The sequence below is a fragment of the Homo sapiens genome, chromosome 7 (assembly GCF_000001405.40).
Source record: "Homo sapiens chromosome 7, GRCh38.p14 Primary Assembly".
NCBI lineage: Eukaryota > Metazoa > Chordata > Mammalia > Primates > Hominidae > Homo > Homo sapiens.
Genome location: NC_000007.14, coordinates 99,237,999 through 99,261,119, shown reverse-complemented (window position 1 = coordinate 99,261,119; position 23,121 = coordinate 99,237,999). Strand labels below are relative to the sequence as shown.

At 48.8% G+C, this 23,121-nt stretch overlaps 1 protein-coding gene across 1 annotated transcript in view, besides 1 other annotated feature; it reads right to left on the bottom strand.

Annotated features, from left to right (window-relative positions):
* MYH16 (myosin heavy chain 16) overlaps positions 1 to 22,291 on the bottom strand; it is a 72,300-nt gene extending 50,009 nt beyond the window's left edge. Inside the window, exons 1-11 of the transcript NR_002147.3 lie at positions 22,082 to 22,291; positions 17,699 to 17,842; positions 13,370 to 13,526; positions 12,102 to 12,129; positions 11,045 to 11,141; positions 9,934 to 10,026; positions 7,295 to 7,393; positions 5,435 to 5,538; positions 3,680 to 3,818; positions 2,730 to 2,998; positions 786 to 956 (exon numbers count right to left, since the gene is read on the bottom strand). The gene's annotated coding sequence lies outside the window, so the exon portion shown is untranslated. The remainder of the gene's footprint in view (positions 1 to 785; positions 957 to 2,729; positions 2,999 to 3,679; positions 3,819 to 5,434; positions 5,539 to 7,294; positions 7,394 to 9,933; positions 10,027 to 11,044; positions 11,142 to 12,101; positions 12,130 to 13,369; positions 13,527 to 17,698; positions 17,843 to 22,081) is intronic.
* Positions 10,031 to 10,532: an enhancer, noted in NCBI's record as "H3K4me1 hESC enhancer chr7:98848211-98848712 (GRCh37/hg19 assembly coordinates)". NCBI's record gives its function as "activates a minimal SCP1, AML or CMV promoter by ChIP-STARR-seq in primed H9 embryonic stem cells {active_cell/tissue: H9 hESC(primed)}" and the evidence as "EXISTENCE:reporter gene assay evidence [ECO:0000049][PMID:30033119]".
* Positions 22,292 to 23,121: the final 830 nt, after the last annotated feature.

Below are 23,121 nucleotides of genomic sequence, written 5' to 3'. Positions count from 1 at the left end.
TCAATGCCACCTGTGCTCTCTGCTTTTTTTTTTTAATTTAATTTATTTATTTTGAGACAGAGTCTCGCTCTGTCGCCCAGGCTGGAGTGCAGTGGCACAATCTCGGCTCACTGCAACCTCCGCCTTCCATGTTCAAGTGATTCTCCTCCCTCAGCCTCCTGAGTAGCTGGGATTACAGGTGCCCGCCACCACACCTGGCTAATTTTTGTATTAGAGATGAGGTTTCACCATGTTGGCCAGGCTGGTCTCAAAACTCCTGACCTCAGGTGATCCACCCACCTCAGCCTCCCAAATTGCTGGGATTACAGGTGTGAACCACCATGCCTGGCCACAACACACATTCTTGAAGGGGACCATTTGCTAAAACCTTCCATGTGGATGTGGTTATAGGTAAAACTATTATATTGCCTGGGTCAGAGCGTGACTCTGCCACTCACAGGTTGTGGGACATTGGACAAGGAAGTTCCCTTCTCTGTGCCTCAATGTTCCCATCTCTGTGCCTCAATGTTCCCATCTGTGAAATGGGTGTAATAAAAGTATCCCCTCCCCCACATGCAGTAGGTTGTGATGATCCAATGAATGGTGGCATGCAATAGCCCAACAAACAGTAGTCATTGCAGTCACTTCAGTACCCATTTTGCAGATAGGGAGCTAGAGGTCATACCAAGGAAGGTCACTGGTGGTGTCACTGACTCCCCTGAAGCCAAGTGCCACCTCCCTGCATGTGCCAGTGACATCCCTTGGCCCTGGCCTCTCTCCAATCCCTCCTTTGAGAAGCAAGTCACCTTTTCCAGCAGGTCGATGCAGGCCTGAAGGTCGAGGCCAAAGTCGATGAAGACCCACTCGATGCCTTCCCTCTTGTACTCCTCCTGCTCCAGCACGAACATGTGGTGGTTGAAGAACTGCTGCAGCTTCTCGTTGGTGAAGTTGATGCATAGCTGCTCAAAGCTGTTGAACTGTGGCGGCAGGAGGGCAGAAAGAGGGGCGTCAGCACAGGCACAGAGAGCCTCTCCCAGGATTGAATGAAGCGACCACAAGCAAAGCAAAACTTTGCAGAGGGCCCACTAGTGTCAGGCACTGCCCTAAGTGCCTAACACTGGCCATTCAGCACCCTATGAGAAGTAGCTCTCTGTTCCCTCCCCTACAGAGGCAGAGGCACAAAGTGGTTTAACACATGCCTCGGGCCACACAGTATGATGTTCAGACCCAAAGTCCAGGCAACCAGACTTCAGCCCTGTATGGTAAACAGAAATATATATATATATATATACACATACATACATATATATATAATATATACACATACATACATATATATAATATATACATACAATATACGTGTATATATGTATATATAATATGTATGTATATATGTATAATATATATATACACACACACACACATATATATATATACACACACATATATATTAAAGAGATGAGGTCTCCAGCCTGGTCATCATGGTAAAACCCCATCTCTACTAAAAATACAAAATTAGCCAAGCGTGGTGGCGCACGCCTGTAATCCCAGCTACTTGGGAGGCTGAGGCAGGAGAATCACTTGAACCCTGGAGGCGGAGGTTGCAGTGGGCTGAGATGGCACCATTGTACTCCAGCCTGGGGAAAAAGTGTGAAACTCTGTCTCAAAAAAAATAAATAAACAAAAATAAAAAAAGATGAGGTCTCACCCTGTTGCCCAGGCTAGTCTCAAACTCCTGGGCACAAGTGATCCCCCCACCTTTGCCTCCCAAAGTGCTGGGATTACAGGCATAAGCCACTGCATGCGGCCCCAGCCTGAACAGAAATCATTGAAGAAATAACCATTTTCTTTCCAGGGATGGAAATCACTCGAAATGCTCTATGGATCTGACCCCCGTATGCCTGAGGGCAGTTTGTCTCTTTCTCTGTAATTTTTCTCCTCATCTGTAAGATGAAGGAGTTTAAGGGGTGACATGGTTTGGCTGTATGTCCCCACCCAAATCTCATCTCCAATTGTAATCCCCACATTGGATCATAGGGTCAGATTTCCTTCATGCTGTTCTCATGATAGCAAGGGAGTTCACAGGAGATCTGATGGTTTAAAAGTATTTGGCACCTCCCCCCTTGCTCTCTTTCTCCTGCCACCATGTAAGATGTGCCCGCTTCCCCTTTGCCTTTCACCATGATCGTAAGTTTCCTGAGGCCTCCCCAGCCATGCAGAATTGTCAGTCAATTAAGCCTCTTTTCTTTATAAATTACCCAGTCTCAGGTAGTTTTTTATAGCAGTTTGAAAATGGACTAATACAAGGGGTTTACAAGCTTTTTTTTTTTAGTGGTGAGCTGATTGATCAGCTCTTCTTAAAACCAAACCCGATTTATAGTGTTTGCCAATGTCCATGGTGTAAATATTCAAGCCATGGCTAATTTCAAGCTATCAACATGATGTCAACTGGCTCACAAAATTCCTGAAAATTTCACAATCAGCTCTTGTTAGCCAGTACAGGCTGGCTTCAGCACACCACTCATCCCATCCTTAAAGTTCACACCATTCTTTATGACTTGGCACCATACAAATGAAGCTGGAAATTTCTGGAGTCCAAAAGTCAGAGATCCAGTGGCAAACCGAGATTGGTCTGCCCCAGGTCCAAGGTGAGAAACAAGAGAACTTTATAACTTATATAAGCAAAAAAGTAGCTTATATAAGGAGGACAGCCACCCCAAAGCAAAAACCAAATGCAAGGCCAGGCACACCTCAAAGATCTCAAAGCCAGCGATGTCCAGCACTCCAATGAAGAACTGCCTCTGCATCTTGGTGTCCAAGGTCTTGTTAATCCTGGCCACCAACCACTTGAACATCTTGTCATAGACAGCCTTGCCCAGAGCCCCAATGGAGTTTTGGCACTGTTCCATGTTCTGGCCTTTTTGCACAAACTCATTGCCAACTTTGACTCGGGGCCTGGTAATGCCTTTCTGCAGTTCACCAGAGTTGAGACCCATGAGATGGGCGACTTTGTCAGCCACTGAGTAGAGACAAAAAAGGCAGGTGAGTGCAAGGAAGATGTTGCCATGCCTGGGAGAAACCTGGCAACATCTATTGTGGTTCACGGAGCGGGTGAAAGGGAGGGTGGAGGAGATCCCATTTTGCCAATGAGAAAACAAAGATGTAGTTTCTACACTTGCTCAAGGTCAGGTGGCAGCTGGGCACAGTGGCTTATGCCTGCGATTCCAGCACTTTGGGAGGTTAAGGTAGGAGGATCACTTGAGGCCAGGAGTTTGAGACCAGCCTGGGCAACATAGCAAGACCCCGTTTCTACAAAAAATTAAAAAATTAGCCAGGCGTGGTGGCGTGCACTGTAGTCCCAGCTACTGAGAAGGTTTGAGGCAGGAGGATCATTTGAGCCTACAAGGTTGAGGCTGCAGTGAGCCATGATTGCATGACTGCACCACTGCGCTCCCACCTAGGCAACAAACCAAGACCCTGTCTCAAAAAATAAATACAAATGAAAACAACAACGACAACAAAAAGCCAAAATCATGTCTTGACTCAATTGTGCCTTTCTGAAAATATCAATGTCTGAACATGCATGGTTTGCAGCCACATAGACCTGGCATGTCCCTGAAATGGTCACAAAGCCCTGGAAAGCAGGGAACTCCCTGCACTGGCCACCTTGTCCCTGAGCAGCCCAAGCCCCAGCACCCACCCTCAGTGGTGTCCACTTCAGCTTGCTCGTCTCTGGGCTTCTGCTTGAACTTCATGTTCCCAAAGTGCATGATACCTCCCGTCAGCTTATACACGGCCATCTTCTCCTCGGCGCTGAAGCCCAGTACGTCAAAGGCTTCCTGCAAAGCAACAGAGACAAAGTCATGTGACTCCTGGCCTCTCATTCCACATAGTGGAGGCCATGGGACTGCCACACTGGGGCCATGCCGAAGGGCCACTGCGGCAGGGCATGGACGCTGGAGTTGGACACCCCCTGAACAGGGAGAGTTCTCCAAGGGGCCCAGATCAGATGTTCTGCAATATAGTCATTTCATTTATTTACAGTAACCTCTCTGGCTTCTGTTTCGTCATCTGCAAAATGATGATGATAAGGATAGATCAGAATGATGTGACAATGTTTAGTCCAGTGCTTGGCACATAGTAAGTGCTCAAGAAAGGGAGGTATTAGTATTGTTATTTTATTATTTTTTGAGATAGGGTCTTACTTTTTTGCCCAGGGTAGAGTGCAGTGGCACGATCATGGCTCACTGCAATCTAGAACTCCTGGGCTCAAGTGATCCTCCCACTTTAGCCTCCCAGGTACCTGGGATAACAGGTGCGTGCCACCACACCTGGCTAATTTTGTTTAATTAATTAATTTATTTATAGATGGAGTCCTCCCTCTGTCGCCCAGTCTGGAATGCAGTGGCACAATCTCCGCTCACTGCAACCTCCACCTCTTGGGTTCAAGTGATTCTCCTTCCTCAGCCTCCCAAGTAGCTGAGATTACAGGCATGCGCCACCATGCCTGGCTAATTTTTTGTATTTTTAGTACAGACGGGGTTTCACCATGTTGGTCAGGCTGGTCTTGAACTCCTGACCTCAAGTGATCCCCCTGCCTTGGCCTCCCAAAGTGCTGGGATTACAGCTGTGGGCTACCATGCCTGGCCAGTTATTTTATTTTATTTTTTTTGAGATAGGGTCTTACTTTGTTGCCCAGGCTAGAGTGCGGTGGCATGATCATGGCTGATTGTAGCCTAGAACTCCTGGGCTCAAGTGATCCTCCCACTTTAGCCTTCTGAGTAGCTGGTTATCATAACAGGTGCTTGCCATCACACCCAGCTAATTTTCAAATTTAAATTTTTTTTTTTTTTTTTTTTTTTTTTGCAGAGACGGGATCTTAGTATGTTGCCTAGGCTGGTCTCAAACTCCTGGACTCAAGCAATTCTCCTGCCTCAGCCTTCCAAAGCACTGGGATTACAGGTGTAAGCTACTGTGCCTGGCACTATTATTATTGTTAAGGCTTCATGCCAGGTACTAGGTGAGGGGAAGGCAAAGATAAATCAGGAATCGATTCTGTTGTCCAAGAGGAGAGAGAACCTAGTACACAAATAATCCTAACAGAAGTTGTGAGTGCTTAGTGTCATAAGAGGAGCCAGAGAGTGTGTTGGGGACTGGGAGAATGACAGAGTCACTTCTAGCTGGGCTGGGGAGGAGGAAAAGTTGCATGGGGTTGAAGGCCCCTGAAGTCCCCATGGAATTCTAGTTCGACTCTGCAAAGAGAAACTTGGCTTGCTAAAATGGGCTTGGAATAAAATGCTGATCGCAACCCCAGAAATCTCCAGGGAAGATCTGGGCAGCTGTCTGGCAGCTCTAAGTGGGCTCCTGTCCCCACTGCCACCCCAGTTCTAGTGGCCATGCATGCAGAGTCCCAAGGCTTCTTCCCGTCCTGTGCCAGCTCTGCCCGCCCACTCACATCTGTGATCTGCAGCTCCTCCTTGTCATCCATGTTGTCCACAGTGGTGACGCCTTGGCTCACCCAGTGGTATTCCTTAGGGTTGGGGACCAGCAGCAAACTCTCTGCCAAGAATAGCAAAGCAGGTTAACCCTTGGTGACATGTGGTTTTCTTCTCTGCCATCTCTAACCTCTCCTCCCTCCCTCCCTCCCTCCCTTCCTTCTTTCCTTCCTTCCTCTTTCTCTCTCTCTCTTTCTTTCAACAGGGTCTGGCTCTGTCACCCAGGCTGGAGTACGGTGGCACAATCATAGCTCACTGCAGCCTTGAACTCCTGGGCTTAAGTGATCTGCCTGCCTCAGCCTCCTGAGTAGCTGAGACCACAGGCACCACCACACCTGGCTAATTTTTGTTACTTATTTATTTTAAAAAAATTTTTTGAGACGGAGTCTTGCTCTGTCACCCAGGCTGGAGTGTGGTGGCGCAATCTCGGCCCACTGCAACCTCTGCCTCCTGGGTTCAAGCGATTCTTGCACCTCAGCCTCCTAAGTAGCTGGGATTACAGGTGCCCACCACCACACCTAGCTAATTTTTGTATTTTCAGTAGAGATGGGGTTTCGCCATGTTGGCCAGGCTGGTTTCGAACTCCTGACTTCAGATGATCTGCCTGCCTCGGCCTCCCAAAGTACTGGGATTACATGTGTGAGCCATTGCGCCCAGCCATTTTTTTAGTTTTTGTAGAGACAGGGTCTTGCTAAATTGCCCAGGCTGGTCTCAAACTCCTGGGCTCAAGCGATCCTCCTGCCTTTGCCTCCCAAAGTGCTGGGATTACAGATATGAGCCACTGCACCTGGCTGGAAATTGCATTTTTATGTGAAGTCTCCCAATTTCAAAATGTTGTTAATTTAAAAGTATACTTTGTCCAAACAAATAAAGCCCACCTGTGGGTGGGGAATGGTACTCAATGCCCTTATTTCTGGCTGGGTTAGGAGGTGTGTGTGTGTAAGACTGAGTCTTCATCCCTCCTCCCACTTTATGTCTGGGCAGGTCTGCCGTGGACAGTTGAGCATGTTGGTGCCTGCACAAGGGCATCCAGTTGAGTGGGTGAGTGTACTCCACTTTCTGAGCTGTGTGCCTGGTGTGGGCTGTGTCTACCAAGAGGAGAGCCTGCTGGGACTGCATGCAAGCACTGGCAGAGCTGATCATGGTCTTGGGCTGATCCCTGTGCTGGTGCCCGAGTATCAGACTCAGAGGCAGCAGGTGGCAGACATAAAGGGTTTAAAGCCTCACATCTCAGTTTTATATCCCAGATTTTGCAGGTACTCAAAGCTTCATCTGTGAAATGGGCCCACAGTGGTCCTCATCTGGCTACTATGAGGATGAGATGTGCAAATAGAACTTTGAGAAAGTTCCCTGTAACACATTCACATGAATTTTCTTTTCTTTTCTTTTTTTTTCTTCAGACAGAGTCTTGTTCTGTTGCCCAGGCTGCAGTGCAATGGAGTGATCTTGGCTCACTGCAACCTCCACCTCCCAGGTTCAACTGATTCTCCTGTGTCAGCCTCCCGAGTAGCTGGGATTACAGGCACCTGCCATCATGCCTGGCTAATTTTTTTGTATTTTGGAGAGACGGGGTTTCACCATGTTGGCCAGGCTGGTCCTGAACTCCTGACCTCAGGTGATCCACCTGCCTCTGCCTCCCAAAGTCCTGGGGTTACAGGCGTGAGCCACCGCACCCAGCCCGATTCACATCACTTTAAACTGAAGACATTATCACAGAACCCTAGGAGTGACATGAGACTCCTTGCACATGGGAAATCTTTGCTTATGGAAAAGAAGAAAAGCAAGGTCAGGGGCAGGTGGATAGACATAAAGGTCTTTACCAACAAGTTCAGGCTTCTTGTTTGAGAGAATCTGGTAGAAGATGTGGTAGCTTCTCTCGGCTGCTTGCTGTGAGATGACACGAGATTTCTCTAAGAGATCTGAAAAAGAAGTGAAGATCCTGGTGAGTACACAGCTGTTTCCCTGGAGTTCAGGGCTCCATACAAAGCAGGAATCTCCTCTCCATAAAGCCCAGAACAGTCACCAGTGGTGAGCCCCACGCTTCGCTCTTCCCAGACACGCAGCCTCCGGGGACCTGACTGCCACGGGGGGAGTCCTGGGAACGGGGCCAGCCTCCTGGGCACCAACAGGCTGCAATCAGAAGGACCTCCCACTTGGCTTGATGCTCCTCTGTTGCTGTTTCAAAATTCCTTTATTATTATTATTATTTTTAGAGACAGGGTCTTGCTGCGTTACCCAGGCTGGAGTGCAGTGGTGTGATTATTTATTTATTCATTTATTTTTATTTATTTATTTTTTTGAGATGGAGTCTTGCTCTGTTGCCCAGGCTGGAGTGCAATGGAGTGATCTCGGCTCACTGCAACCTCTGCCTCCCAGGTTCAAAGCAGGAATCCCCTCTCCATAAAGCCCAGAACAGTCACCAGTGGTGACTGTTCACTGCAGCCTCTAACTCCTGGGCTCAAGTGATCCTCTTGCCTTAGCCTCCTGAGTAGCTGGGACTACAGGCATGTACCACCATGCCAGGCTAATTTTTCACATTTTTTGTAGAGATGGGATCTTATTATGTTGCCCAGGCTGGTCTTGAACTCCTAGGCTCAAGCGACCCTCCCGCCTCGGCCTCCCAAAGTGCTAGAATTACAGGCATAAGCCACCTCGCCTGGCCTGAAATTCTTAATATTTTTTAAGAAGAGCCCCTCATTTTCATGTTGCACCAGGCCTCACAGATTATGTAGCTGCACAGACAAACCCTCCAAGGAGGGCCTGACTTACAGCTCTCTATGTCGGCTCCAGCCAGTTTCCCTGTGGTTCCAAAGTGGATTCGGATGAACTTGCCCTGAGCAGGGAAGAGAGGGGAGGGATCAGGAGGGAGGTCGTCCACAGCTTTAGACCAGTAAGTGGCCCAGAGTTGGCCAAGGGTTGCTGATCGGGGCCTGCGGGGATGTAACCGGGCTCTATTGGAGTATCGGATTTCCCACGAAGATAGAGAAACACACGGACAGGTCTCAGAGCTAAATCTAGGGTCTGTGGTTTGGGGCATTTGTAGGGGAGAGAAGTCCCAGCAGGAGGGCTGCTACCCTTTGGAATTCTGCATAGAGACCAGGCACCATGGGAATTTGGAGGACCTCCCATGCCTCTTTATCGGGAGCCTTCCATGTCATTCCTCTCTCTGGCTTGCATGGTACAGCCATCAATAAATTCTTCCGGAAACAGGACTCTCTATCTCTCTCTACCTCGGCTGCTCCTGGGCCTGTCTGTACTCACCTCTGCTCCTCCCCTCACCCCCCGCCAGCCCTGTTTTCCCAGGCTCTGTGCAAGCTCACTGGGCTCTGCCAATGGGAAGCCCGAGACCCGGGAGTGAGGGAGACGAGGCCAGGGCATTGCTCCTCTCAAGTTGGCGTCTCAGGTGGTGCTGGGTGCCTCTGTGACTACAGCTCCCGCCAGACAGCTGCACTGGTTTAAGAACCCACTAGGACCCTAGGACAGCACCTCTCTTATGTCCCTCCAGCCTGGAAGGAGGTTGCAGCTTCTCGCTGCTGTGAATCTGTCTCCCCAGGTGACCTCCCAGCCCCTCCACCATCACTGTTGCCAAGGTTCTGTATCAAAGCTGCTTGACTTAAATATTAATACTAAAGAGGGTTCTGTTTGCTGATTAGATGCTTTTTATCCCCCCTGAGATAGGGGGTCTTACTCTGTTGCCCAGGCTGGAGTGCAGTGGCATAATCTCAGCTCATTGCAACCTTGACTTCCTGGGCTCAGGTGATCCTCCCACCTTAGCCTCCTAAGTAGCTGGGACTACAGGCAGGCATGGCCATGCCCGGCTAATTTTTATTTTTTATAGAGATGGCGGGTGGTCTCGCTCTGTTGCCGAGGCTGGTCTCAAACTCCTGGGCTCAAGGGATCCTCCTGCCTTGGCTTCCCAAAGTGCTGGGATTACAGGAGTGTGCCACTGTGCCCAGCCTCCTTCTTTTATGCTAATGGAGATTTTCTTTTCTTTATTGAGAAATGTAACACTTGGGTACATCAAAGAAAACCAATTTCTGAGGGGGAAACAAATCAAAACAAAAAAAAGTTAACCCTGTCTGGGTCTCTGCAGAACCCAGAGAATGTTTTCGCACAATTGAAAAATTCTAGATGCTTCATAATTGATCTTTTGATACAAAATGACCTGTTAAATTTGCAATTTGTAGTTCTTGGTGTTGAGGCCAATTGGACTGGCTAGGAAGAGTCTTCAAACCTTGAGCTGAATTCCACGAGGGATTATTTGTCTTTTGAATTAGTTTTTCCTCGTTGCCAATTTGATTCTGATTGCTGTGCCTTCAACATCTCTGGGAAGGGGATGTCTTCACTTGTCCCACCCCTTTCACCTTAATTTAAACCAGCCTCCATTTCTTTACCTGGGGCGGGGTCGTGACCCCTGTCCCACCAGCCAGGGGGCCTCTCATGTGGTCCCCACACTTACGAAGCGAGAGGAGTTGTTGTTCCTGGTGGTCTTGGCGTTCCCAAAGGCCTCCAGCACAGGGTTTGCCTGGATGACTTGATCCTCCAGAGACCCCTGATGCAGAAAGAAACCCAAAGTCAGTTGACCAGTTGGCTGCTGCCTGGGAGCCCAGGGCTGAGGGACTGGGCTTGCAAATGACAGTGGCTCATGTGCTGGGAACCCAGGAGGAGAATGGCCTTGGGGTGGCCAGAAAATCAGGGCCAGAGGGGCTACATGTAGTAACCTGGGACGAGGGCCACTGCCTGAGTGTCTGTCCCTCTGTGGCTCCGTGACACTGGGAGGGGCACCTGGGGACACGGGCAGCCACTTGGACTTGATCCCTAGCTACTGTTTCCTCACTTTGCTGTTGGCAGAGAGCCCCCTGAGCAGTCTGAAACCCCTCCCTACACATCCCCCCACCCCTTTTTTGAGACAGTTTTGTTCTGTTGCCCAGGCTGGAGTGCAGTGGCACGATCTCGGCTTACTGCAGCCTCCAACTCCTGGGCTCAGGTGATCCTCCCACTTCAGCCCCCTGAGTAGCTGGGACTATAGGCACATGCCACCACTCCCAGCTAATTTTTAAAGTTTTTTGTAGAGATGGTGTCTTGCTATGTTGCCCAGGTTGGTCTTGAACTCAGGGACTCAAGCGACCCTCCCACCTCAGCCTCCCAGAGTACTGGGATTATAGGCATGAGCCACTGCGCCTGGCCGCTGTCAGCCTTTTAGAGCTGCCTTAGCTGGCTGCCCAGCTAAGGCTTTTTGTGCCCCTGGGGCAGCCAGGGCCTGCAGAGGCCACTTAACAGGCAGCAAACTTTCCTGTTTCTCCTCTGCCAAGAACAAGGGGCTCTGCTACCTGTCCTTCTGGAGGCAGACATGGCCTGGGGCAGCAGAACAAGTCCTCGGGGAGGAGACCTTGATCTATAGCCACCTTCTCCCTGTGTGACCCCACCCAAGTCACTTCTCTCTAAGCCTCAGTCTCTTCATCTGTAAAATGGCCCTAAGCTGTGAGCAGCTGTGAAGATTGAATGGGCACCACTGTGTGTGTCACAGAAGCCTGAAGACGGGAAATATGGGCCCACCCGGTCGGCTCTACCTTCTTATCTGTGGTCTGTTTGCCAGTTCCTCCAATGTTGGCAAAGTACTGGATGACCTTCTTCGTGTTCTCAGTCTTACCAGCACCAGATTCTCCGCTGCAGGTAGAAAAAAAGTGGACAGGAGAAGCAGGAAGAGGGGTGGTCAGCTGCAGAGAAAAGGAGCAAGACTAGCCTGGCCAACATGGTGAGACCCCGTTTCTACTAAAAATACAAAAATTAACCGGGCACAGTGGCTCATGCCTGTAATCCTAGCACTTTGGGAGGCCAAGGTGGGCGGATCACCTGAGGTCAGGAGTTCGAGACCAGCCTGGCCAACATGGTGAAGCCCCCGTCTCTATTAAAAATACAAAAAGTAGCCAGGCATGGTGGCATGTGCCTGTAATCCCAGCTACTCAGGAGGCTGAGGCAGCAGAATCGCTTGAACCCAGGAGGTGGAGGCTGCACTCCAGCCCGGGTGGCAGAGCAAGACTCCATCTCAAAAAAAAAAAAAAAAAAAAAAAAACAGCACTTTTCTTTTCTTTTTTTTTTTTTTTTTTGAGAGAGGGTCTTGCTCTGTCGTCCAGGCTGGAGTGCAGTGGTGTGATCATAGCTCACTGCAGCCTCAACCTCCTGGGCTCAAGCAATCTTCCTGCCTCAGCCTCCTGAGTAGCTGGGACTACAGGTGTGCACCACCATACCTGGCTAATTTTTTGTAGAGATGGGGTCTCACTATGTTGCCCAGGCTGGTCTCAAACTCCTGGGTTCCAGCGATCCTCCTGCCTCAGCCTCCCAAAGCCCTGGGATTACAGGTGTGAGCCACCACACCTGGCCTCAAAGGTACACACTTCTGTTCGCATTTTGCCCCCTAGCTAGGACAGACAGGCAGGTGGGGAGGTCCTGGGGACAGGGAGGCCACCCTGTCAGTTTAACAGGTGTAGCCTCACCCGCCCCAAAGCCCACTCACTGCCTGCAGAGTTCCAAACAAAGTCCCGCAATTAATTCTAAGAAGGCTTAATTGTATGTGTAAGACACAGGTCTAATTATATGTGTATAGACAGAGATGGAAGAGACACTTACGTGATTAGCATAGACTGATTCTCACGATCTGTAGGGAAGAAAACAAGAAACAGGAAGGTGTAATTAGGAACATTTAGAAACTAGGCATTCGACAATGCCCCAGCCAGTCAGCGCTTCCCCAAATTCCACCCGGCTTAGATCGTGGCCTTGGCTACACTTGGAGGCCAAAATTCAGGATCCTGTGGGATCTGTGGCCACGTGCCCATCCCTGCAGTGTACACCCTTGCAGAAAGGATCAGGAATTTATCAGCCACTCTTTCTACCAGCCCAGAGTGGCCATAAAGCTACCCAGTCCTAAGCAACATAAAGAGAAATGAGGACAAAAATCACAGAGGGCTGGACAGCATGACTCATGCCTGTAATCCCAGCATTTGGGGAAGCTGAGGCTGGAGCCCAGGAGTTTAAGACCTGCCTAGGCAAGATGGTGAAACCCTGTCTCCACAAAACATTAAGAAATTAGCTGGGCATAGTGACGCATTGCTATAGTCTCAGCTACTCAGGAAGCTGAAGCAGGAGGATTGCTTGGGCCTAGAAGTTCTAGACTGCGGTGAGCTAAGATTGCACCACTGCACTCCAGCCTGGGCAACAAAGAACCCATCTCTTAAAAAAAAAATCATGACTGGGCGCAGTGGCTCACGCCTGTAAAGCCAGCACTTTGGGAGGCCGAGATGGGTGGATCACCTGATGTCAGGAGTTCAGGACCAGCCTGGCCAACATGATGAAACCCCATCTCTACTAATAATACAAAAATTAGCTGGGTGTGGTGGCACATGCCTGTAATCCCAGCTACTTGGGAGGCTGAGGCAGGAGAATTGCCTGAACCTGGGAGGTGGAGGTTGCAGTGAGCTATTGCACCATTGCACTCCAGCTTGGATGACAAGAGCGAAACTCTATCTCAAAATAAAGAAAAAAATCACATAGAGGAATCACTATAACATGCAGCAAAGATCATAGAGGTAATGGTTAAGAGTACTGAGCTCTGAGCAAGTTACTTACCTACTTACCTTGGCATCCCACGGGTTTGTGAAACTTAAATGAGATAGGGTGTGAGGTAGGGCTGGTGCCTAGCAAGTGCCCAGCACACTCACTGAGCCCTGGCACCTGGTAGCAGCAGCTGCTGCTCAAAATTTAGCAAAGAACTTCAACTGGTAGTGCAGGGTCAGGGTTAGGATCGGGTATCACAAGGTCTTAATGCGTCTGGAGCCGCAATGGCAAAGGAAGGCTTGTCTCCCGCCACCCCTGCCCCAGCAGAGCCCACCCCGACGCACCCATAAGCATGTCGTGGTAGGCGTTGTCAGAGATGGAGAAGAGGTGAGGCGGCATCTCTGTGCGCTTCTTGCCCTTGTACATGTTAGCCACACGGGCCCCGTAGATGGGCAGCCACTTGTAGGGGTTGACCGTCACGCAGAACAAGCCCGAGTAGGTCTGGTGGGAGGGAGGGAAGATGGTCAGCTGATTTTTCCTCCTGGTACCCTCTTCCCCCAGCGGAGTTCCCTTCAGGCCCCAGCTTATCATAGAGCAAGCTGTGAAGAAGGCAAGCTTTCTGCCAGGTGTGGTGGTTTATGCCTGTAATCCCAACATTTTGGGAGACCGAGGCAGGTGGATCACCTGATGTCAGGAGTTGGAGACCAGCCTGACCAACATGGTGAAACCCTGTCTCTACCAAAAGGACGAAACAATTAGCTGGGCGTGGTGGTGCACGCCTATAATCCTAGCTACTTGGAAGGCTGAGGCAGGAGAATCGCTTGAACCTGGAAGGCAGAGGTTGCAGTGAGCCAAGATCGTGCCACTGTACTCCAGCCTGGGCAACAGAGTGAGACTCCGTCTCAAAAACAACAAAAACAACGAAACCCAGCCTTCTGGAGGCAAAATCTTATGACTATCTGAGTCTGTGTTCATTAAGCTAAATGAGGCTTCTCTTTAATATATATTTGTTTTTGTTTTCTTTTGGTTTAATTACAGACACTCCTCAACTTAGGATGGGGTCACATCTAGATAAACCCATCATATGTTGAAAATATCGTATTGAAAGTCGATTTATGATATTTTCAACATACGATGGGTTTGATCATAAATCGAGGAGTGCATTGAATGTGTATTGCTTTTGCCCCATCGTAAAGTTGGAAATCATTAACTTGAACCATTGTAAGTTGGGGTCCATCTGGATTTGAATAGGTAACACTGTCACTGTGGTAACATATATACTGCAGAAGGTCCCTCCACTTGCTCCATGCCCACCCCCACCCTCACCACAGGTAAATGCTGGGCTAGTTTCTTTTACTCCCTTCCATGGTTTTTTTTATTTATATATATTTTGTGGATGGAGTCTCACTCTGTCACTCAGGCTGGAGTGCAATGGTGCCATCTGGGTTCACTGCAACCTCTGCCTCCCAGATTCAAGCAATTCTCCTGCCTCAGCCTCTTGAGTAGCTGAGACTACAGGTGCACGCCACCACGCCCGGCTAATTTTTGTATTTTTAGTAGAGATGGGGTTTCGCCATATTGGCCAGGCTGGTCACAAACTCCTGACCTCAAGGGATCCACCCACCTCAGCCTCCCAAAGTGCTGGGATCACAGGTGTGAGCCACTGCGCCCAGCCTATAGTACTGTTTTATATCTTGCTTTTGCCACTTAATATATCTGGCTTTCCTTGAGAGTCTATTGAGAATTTCTGGGGTGATTCAAAAGCTGTGGAATCTTCACTGTGTGGATGCAGTTCCCTGCTTGTGGCAGCTGGGTTTGACCACCTGTTTTTTACCTGTTTTTTTCTTTCTTTCTCTTTTTTTTTTCTTTTCTTTCTTTTTTTTTTTTTAGAGACAGAGCCTTGCTCTATCACCCAGGCTGGAGTGCAGTGGTGCCATCATAGCTCACTGCAGCCTTGAACTCCTGGGCTCAAGCGATTCTTCCACCTCAACATCCCACGTAGCTGGGACTACGGGCATGTGCCCACTAAGCCTGGATAATTAAAAAATTGTTTTTGTAGAGACGGGAGTCTTGCCGTGTTGCTCAGGCTTGTCATGAACTCCTGTCCTCAAACAATCCACCCACGTTGGCCTCCCAAAGTGCTGGAATTACAGGCATGAGCCACTGCGCCCAGCCTTGACCTACTCTTAAAAAGAGACCCCAACTTTCTTTTCACTCCAAGATTGCAATTTTGTAAGAAATCACCCTGTTTTAAAAAAAAGAACAGAAAGGCCAGGCGCAGTGGCTTACACCTGTAATCCCAGCACTTTGGGAGGCTGAGGCAGGCGGATCACAGGGTCAGGAGTTCGAGACCAGCGTGACCAACATGGTGAAACCCTGTCTCTACTAAAAATACAAAAATTAGCTGGGCGTGGTAGCGCAAGTTTGTAATCCCAGCTTCTGAGGAGGCTGAGGCAGGAGAATCCCTTGAACCCGGGAAGCGGAGGTTGCAATGAGGTGAGACTGTGCCACTGCACTCCAGCCTGGGCAACAGAGCGAGACTCCATCTCAAACAAACAAACAAAAAACCCCAGAAAAACCAATTACATCATTAAATAAATTAAGAGCAGGAAGAATGAGTGAAGACAGGAAATGGCCAAATCTATGAATCTTAAATTTCTCTTCTCCTTGCTGGACAGTCACATTGACCTCTAAAGCATCCACCAAGTACTTGGTTTCAGTTCAACTTTAAACCCTTCCATTTTGAACCAAGTAAGAATAACTGCTCCCTATCCACCCCTGTCCCTGCCACCAGCTCCTCCTTAGCATAACTGGGATATGTTGAATTTTCAAAAGGAAACTTATTAAGTACAAACTGATCCACAGGAAAAAAGGCAAAGAGACGATGAAGGAAACCCAGTGGAACAGCTGAGAGTATGACACACAGTGTCTCATCCTGGGACACCAGCCATGGAGTCACTCTTCCCCTCCAGCCTGTCTCAGCCGTGGGGTGGGGGCAGACAGCATCCTGGAAGCCAGTTACCTCCCTGCTGTGGTCAGGAGGAATTGAGAGAGAAGCAGCTGGGATCATGGGAGCAGCCCTTGCCAGCTAGAGTTGTTGCATTAGTGGCTCTATTGAGGCGCTTTAATGTAGGAGGGGACTCCCTGCCCTGGTCTCTCAGGCTATACTCCACAAAGCCTGCAGTCCCTTGGCCCAAAGTCATGATGTGGTCACCCAGGAGGAACAAGGGCTTGCGGGCAGAGCAGCCCCAGGTAAGCCCTGGTCCTGAGCTTGACCTTTGAGCCTGTACCTTGACATTCTCAGCCCAGGCTCTAGGTTCAGCCGGGGGTGGGTGTGGCTCTTTCTAGACCTGGGGTTCAAGGATGCCCTGCTAACTTCCAGACCTAGCAAATATCTTCAAGAGATTTCAGAGACCTTCCAGCAACACCTGGGGCTATGGTACTACTGGGGCCTGAATCTAGAACCACAGTAGTAGTATTAAAGGAGGATGAATCTGGGGTCACAGAAGCCCTCTTGACTATAACCATAGACCCAGGGAAGGGGAACCCCCAGCAGCTCCTGACCTGGGAGTCAGGCTGCACCTCACCTATTCCTACCAGATAAGCCTCTTTCCTTTTAAATAAAGACATCTAGAGAGGCAAACACCAACACGTCCTTAGACAACCCATTTTGGGAGTTAAGCTGCAACACCTTCAGGAAATCATCTTTCTGTCTTAAGATTTCAAAGACACTCAGGGGACTGATTGTAACTCACTCTGGTCATCATGTCAGACAAAGTGAAACTGAATTTCTTCAAGGATGCAGTTGGTTGTCCTTCCTAAGTGCCTCAGGCTACAAGTCACATTTCCTCAATGTTTGTTGGATGGATGGGTGGATGAGTGTTTTGATTAATGAATGAATGGATGGATATTTGGATGTTTGGATGGGTGGATGAGTGGATGGATGGATGGATGTTTGGTTGATGGATGGATGGATGTTTGGATAGGTGGACGAATGTTTGGATGTTTGGACTGATGGATAGATGTTTGGACGTATATATGTATGGATCGATGTTTGGATAGGTGGATGAATAGATTGACGGATAGATGTTTGGATGGATGGATGGATGGATGGATGAATGTTTGGATGTTTGGGTTGATGGATAGATGTTTGGATGGATGGATAGATACTTGGATGGATGGATGGATGTTTGGATGGATAAATGTTTGGATGGATGAATGTTTGGATGGATGGATGTTTGGATGGATGGATGGATGAACGAATGGATAGATGGATGAATGGATGGATGGATGGATGGATGAATGAATGGATAGATGGATGAATGGATAGATGGATGGATGGACTTCTAATAATGGCACATGAAGTCACTAGGGGAAAAATGATGTTTTGATTTGAGAGTTTGAGGAAGAGGGGAGGAACATGAGGAGGAAGATTTTCGGGTGACAGCCTCAGCAAAAGCTGCTCACGGAGATGGTGCCATTACTGAGATGCCGAAGGCTTTGGGTGGAAATTCTAACATGTCAGAAACGTGGTCCCTGTGCCTTTGTCTAAGTCATAATGTGTACTGGGAGCTGGGGAGGGTGGAGTAGCCAACCCCCTCCTCAACAAAAGAAAAGCAGAAGATCTACAGCCACTCCTTCCTCCCCCCACTCACCCCATCCCTGGCACTCACATAGATCCTCATGTTGGTGTAGCGTTGGCGCAGATTGTCTAGGACACTGGCCTCATTCAGGAAGGTCATGTCTGCCATGTCACTGGCCTGGTAGAATTTGGGTGGGTTCATCTGCTGGATATCATCCTTCTTCACAGTGAGTGTCTGGGGGGGTCAAGACACAGCAGCACAGGCATCAGGCATGGGGCATGGGGCATCTGGCCCAGGTCACCACATACCCTCTGGAGTCCCAGGAGATGGAGTGGAGCATCCAGTGGACCCAAGTCCTGGTCCAGCCACATCCCCCTGTGTGTCCTGGGATGGGGAGGCACTTCTGAGGCCAATGCAGCTTCAACTGCCTCCTCTCTGAAGTTGAGATGACAGTAGCCTCCTTGGCAGGTTGCTGGGAGAATTATATGAACTTAAGTGGAATCATGTAAAAATACCTTAAAAACTATGACGTTCCCTCCCTATGTTACAGAGACCTCTGGGCTCTGCTTCTCTTCCAGCCAAATCCATCCTGATAGATGATCAGAGCTTATTCTTTGATCCCATGGACACTTTGCAGAGATGTGACTCTTGGCTCTCTGCCTTGAGAGTTAGCGGTGATTTCGAAATAGCGATGAGCTTTTCCATTTCTCTCTCTCTTTTTTAAAGACTAAGTGCAGTAATGAGAAGGGTGGGGGGAAGAGTGGAACAAGGATTTTGATCTGTAACTGACCATGCACAATCAATTGAGATAACTCACTACCTTCAGACCAGCCAAACTTTTCCTTTTTAAATTTTTAATTTAATTTTATTTTTTGAGACATAATCTTGCTCTGTTGCCCAGGCTGGAGTTCAGTGGTACAGTCATAGCTCACTGCAGCTTCAATCTCTTGGGCTCAAGCCATCCTCCTGCCTCAGCCTCCCGAGTAGCTGGGACTACAGGTGCACACCACCATGCCTGGCTAATTTTTAATTTTTTTTTCTAGAGACAAGGTCTTGCTATGTTGCCTATGCTGGTCTTGAACTCTTGGCCTTCAATGATCCTCCCATCTTGGCCCCCAAAAGTGTTACAGGTGTGAGCCACCACATGTAGCCACTGTTCCACTTGAAAAAAAGACATTCCCCTGCTCCCTCCAAGCCACCTTCAAGGATAAAATTGAAAGCAAGCAAGAAAAGAAGAAAAAAAAGAAACCAGCAATGAGCATTCATCAGTAGGTGTGTTCGCGCCCGTGCCATGTGGGCAGATCTCTTCCCCATGCTGCACCCCAATTTCTTCATCTATAAATGAAAACTAGGCCGGGTGCAGTGGCTCATGCCTGTAATCCCAGAACTTTGGGAGGCCGAGGTGGGTGGATCACCTGAGGTCAGGAGTTCGAGACCAGCCTGGCCAAAATGGCGAAACCCTGTCTCTACTAAAAATACAAAAATTAGCTGGGCGTGGTAGCGCACACTTGTAACCCCAGCTACTTGGGAGGCTGAGGCAGGAGAATCACTTGAACCCAGGGGGCGGGGGTTGCAGTGAGCGGAGATCATGCCGCTGCACTCCAGCCTGGGTGATAGTGCAAGACAAAACAAAACTAAACAAAAAAAAAAAACTAGTGCCAGCTCTTAAGAAGCTCCAGCATCTGGGATCAAAGCTGAAGACATACGATCTAGAAAACAAATACCTTTTGGCTGCCTGCAACCTTAGATGTGAGGCCTGAATCCATACTGGGATTTCTGGGACTTTTAATAACTTATTAGTACAATAGGCAGATAATTTGAAATCTTGACAGTTCTGGAAAATCCACCCCCACTCCCCGTAATGGTTACCACGCCCTTAGTAAACCAAGCTGTTTTTTGTTTGTTTGTTTTTGTTTTGTTGTTTTTTCTGAGACAGAGTCTCACTCTGTCACTCATGCTGGAGTGCAGTGGCGTGATCTCAACTCACTGCAACCTCCGCCTCCTGGGTTCAGGCAATTCTCCTGCCTCAGCCTCCCAAGTAACTGGGATTACAGGCGCAGGCCACCATGCCCGACTAAGTTTTATATTTTTGGTAGAGATGGGGTTTCACCATGTTGGCCAGGCTGGTCTCAAACTCCTGACCTCAGGTGATCCACCCTCCTTGGCCTCCCAAAGTGGTGGGATTACAGGCGTGACCCACCATGCCTGGCCTCAAGCTGGGTTTTATTCTGAATTCATTTCCAGGGGTTTCCAGATCTCTGGTCCTCGTCCACGTGCAGACACTTCGCTTTCAGCAGAGGAATGGAGAACTTGGCCTTTATTTTAGGAGCCAGGGAAGCCAGCGCCACAGGCTCCATCTTTTCTGTCCCAAACCCGGCTGGCCGGCACTGTCTGCTGCAGATACTCAAGGAAATTGTGTTGTCCTTAAATGTGGATCCAAACTTAGATGCACCCTGGGGCTCCACTATCATCACCCATCACTTCTCACGACACTGCAGCACTCTCCTCTCTGAAAACTGTTTCTCCTGGGAATTAAGCTTGACTTTCGTTCAAATCCATTTCCACCCAACTATATCTTTTTACCACTGCTCCTCTCGAAGACAGGCGCAGAGAAAAATACAGCTGTTGCCAGTTCTGATCACTGAGGTCTCTGGCTTCCTTTTTTTTTTTTTGAGACAAGGTTTCTGTCTGTCACCCAGGCTGGAGTGCAGCAGTGCAATCCTAGCTCACTGCAGCCTCAGCTTCCTGGGCTCAAGCGATTCTCCTGGCTCAGCCTCCTAAGTAACTGGGAGTACAGGGATGCACCACACCTGGCTAATTTTTTGTAGAAACGGGGCCTCGTTATGTTGCCCAGGCTGGTCTCAAACACCTAGCCTCAAGCGATCTGCCTGTATCGGCCTCCCAAAGTGCTGGGATTACAGGCTTGAGCTGCCGCGTCTGGCCTCTGACTTCTTTTAATCAAGAAATTAACCAGGAATGGACCTCGCAGGTGCTAATATATTTATTGCTGAACACACATTGCTCTGTTTTTTGTTTTTGTTTTGTTTTGTTTTGTTTTCTTTGCTTGCTTGCTCTCAATTTTATCCTTGAAGGCGGTTTGGAGGGAGCAGAGTAATGTCTTTTTTCTTAAATGGAAAAGTGGCCGGGTGCAATGGCTCATGCCTCCCTCTTGGCAGCCCACCATGAAGGGATGGAATGGTGACATAGAAGGGGCATGGGCATATGAGCCAGATACAGTGGGTTTGAATCCAAATTCATCATTTGCTATTTTTGCAACGTACACAGGTCACCTAAAGTGCCCTTGATCCTCAGTTTTCCTTCTCTGCAAAATAGGGTCAATAAATCCTACCACATAAGATTGCCAAAAGGATTAAACAAAGTGTCAAGTGCCTCACCAGGGGTCTGCCAAGAATACAAGAGACCCTGCCCTTACCCATTTAAAATAAACCAAATTAAAAAAATTCTAATAAAAATTGTTATTATTTTCTAAAAATAAAGATAGGGTCTCACCAAGTTGCCCAGGACAGTCTCAAACTCCTGAGCCCAAGTAATCCTCCTGTCTTGGTCTCCCAAAGTGCTGGGATTACAGGTGTGAGCCACCACGCCTAGCCTAATAAGCCAAATTTTCTATCCATTCTCTCAAGTCATATCTCATAGTCAGACGTAGTGTGGGCCAGCAGAGAGAAGGGTGGGTTGGTAAACCAGCTGTCTGGGGGGAAGTGTCCCTGATTTACAGCATATTCCCATTTCCATGGTATAAATACTTCCATCACGGCTGATAGCAAGCTACCCAAGGTTTAACAACTGGCTGTAAAATCCCTCATTGTTTAGTGTTGGGGTCTTTGCAAACCATCACAAGCCAGGTTGGATCCCTGCAATCCACGATAAGCCAGGTTGAGTCCCTGCAAGCCATCATTAGCCAGGTTGGGTCCTTGCAACACGTTAAAAGCCATCGGAAGCCATCACATCCAGCACACCACCCCCATGCTCCAAGAGACCTGGGAACCACCATCTGTTCTTCATGCAGCTGAAGAGCTCACCCAGTGAGCCAGGGTGTTCTGTGCCCTCTCTCATGGCCCTCATGCCACCAGGGGCCATGGCACACAGTGACACTGCTCATAAGTGACATGCTCACTCTCATGCTTAGAAAATAGCTTCCACTTGAGAGCTGTTTGAGACATCAAAGATAAGTAACTCTCACGATCATCCCTTACGCACGGTACTGTCTTAGAGTCTATGAAGTGCTTTCATGTGATCTGTCTCGGAATCTCTATTGTGATATAGCTCAGAGAGGGAATGCGTCTTGCCCAGGGCCACACAGCTTGAGTGTAGGCGAGTCTGGATTTGACCCCAGCACATGGGACTCGGAGGCACCTGCTCTTTCTGCCACCCTGCCTTCTGGGCGGGAGCATGCCTAGAAAAGGCCTGGGTGCCTGCCACTTGGTTTCATCCTGGAGATCGTGCCCCACTCACCTGGTTGGTGATCGTCTTCACGGTGACTTGGTCACCCTGTTCAGACTGGATCTCCCCAGCGACGAAGCCTTCCTTCTCATCTTTGACCCAGCAGGACCTCTTAATGTCATAGGGCTTGTTCATGGCTTCAATCCTCTCCTTTTCAGGAGGTGCCAGGAAAGGCATAGGGTCCACATCGTCCCCACACTCCCCTTTGTACCCACCAGGCATGGTGGCTTGGTTGAGGATGGAGCAGGAAGGAGCTGAGGGCAGGAACCAGGACTTCCCTGGGTGCTGTAGGGGGAAGCAGAGACAAGCTGCTGAGGCTCACAGGCTGAAGTCAATGTCCCGAGAAAGACAGAGGCTTGCTTCTCTCATGTCACCTTGTCTGTCTTGGTGCTATTAGGCTTTCATAACCAAGAATAAGAAAGAAGCTAATTGTTCAGCCACTGTAGAAAGCAATTTGGAGATTTCTCAAAGAACTTAGAACTGTTATTCAACCCAGCCATCCTATTCCTGGGTATCTAAAAAAAGGGAAAAATAAGTTTTCCTACCAAAAAGACACATGCACCTGTATGTTCACTGCAGTGTTATTCACAATGCAAAAACATGGAATCAACCTAGGTGGCCATCAGTGGTGGATTAGATAAAGAAAATGTGGTACAGGCCAGGTACAGTGGCTCACACCTATAATCCCAGCACTATGGGAAGCCAAGGTGGAAGGACAGCTTGAGCCCAGGAGTTTGAGACCAGCCTGGGCAATATATCAAGGCCCCATGTCTACAAAAACATTAAAAAATTAGCTGGGCATGGTGATGTGTGCCTGTAGTCCTAGCTATCCTCAGGGCTAAGGCGGGAGGATTGCTTGAGCTGGGGAGGTCAAGGCTGCAGGAAGCCATGATTGTACTACTGCACTCCAGCTTAGGTGACAGAGCAAGACCCTGTCTTAAAAAAAAAAAGCCAAAAACAGAAAGAAAATGTGGTACATATACACCATGGAATACTATGCAGCCATAAAAAAGAATGAAATCATGTCCTTTGCAGCAACATAGATGCAGCTG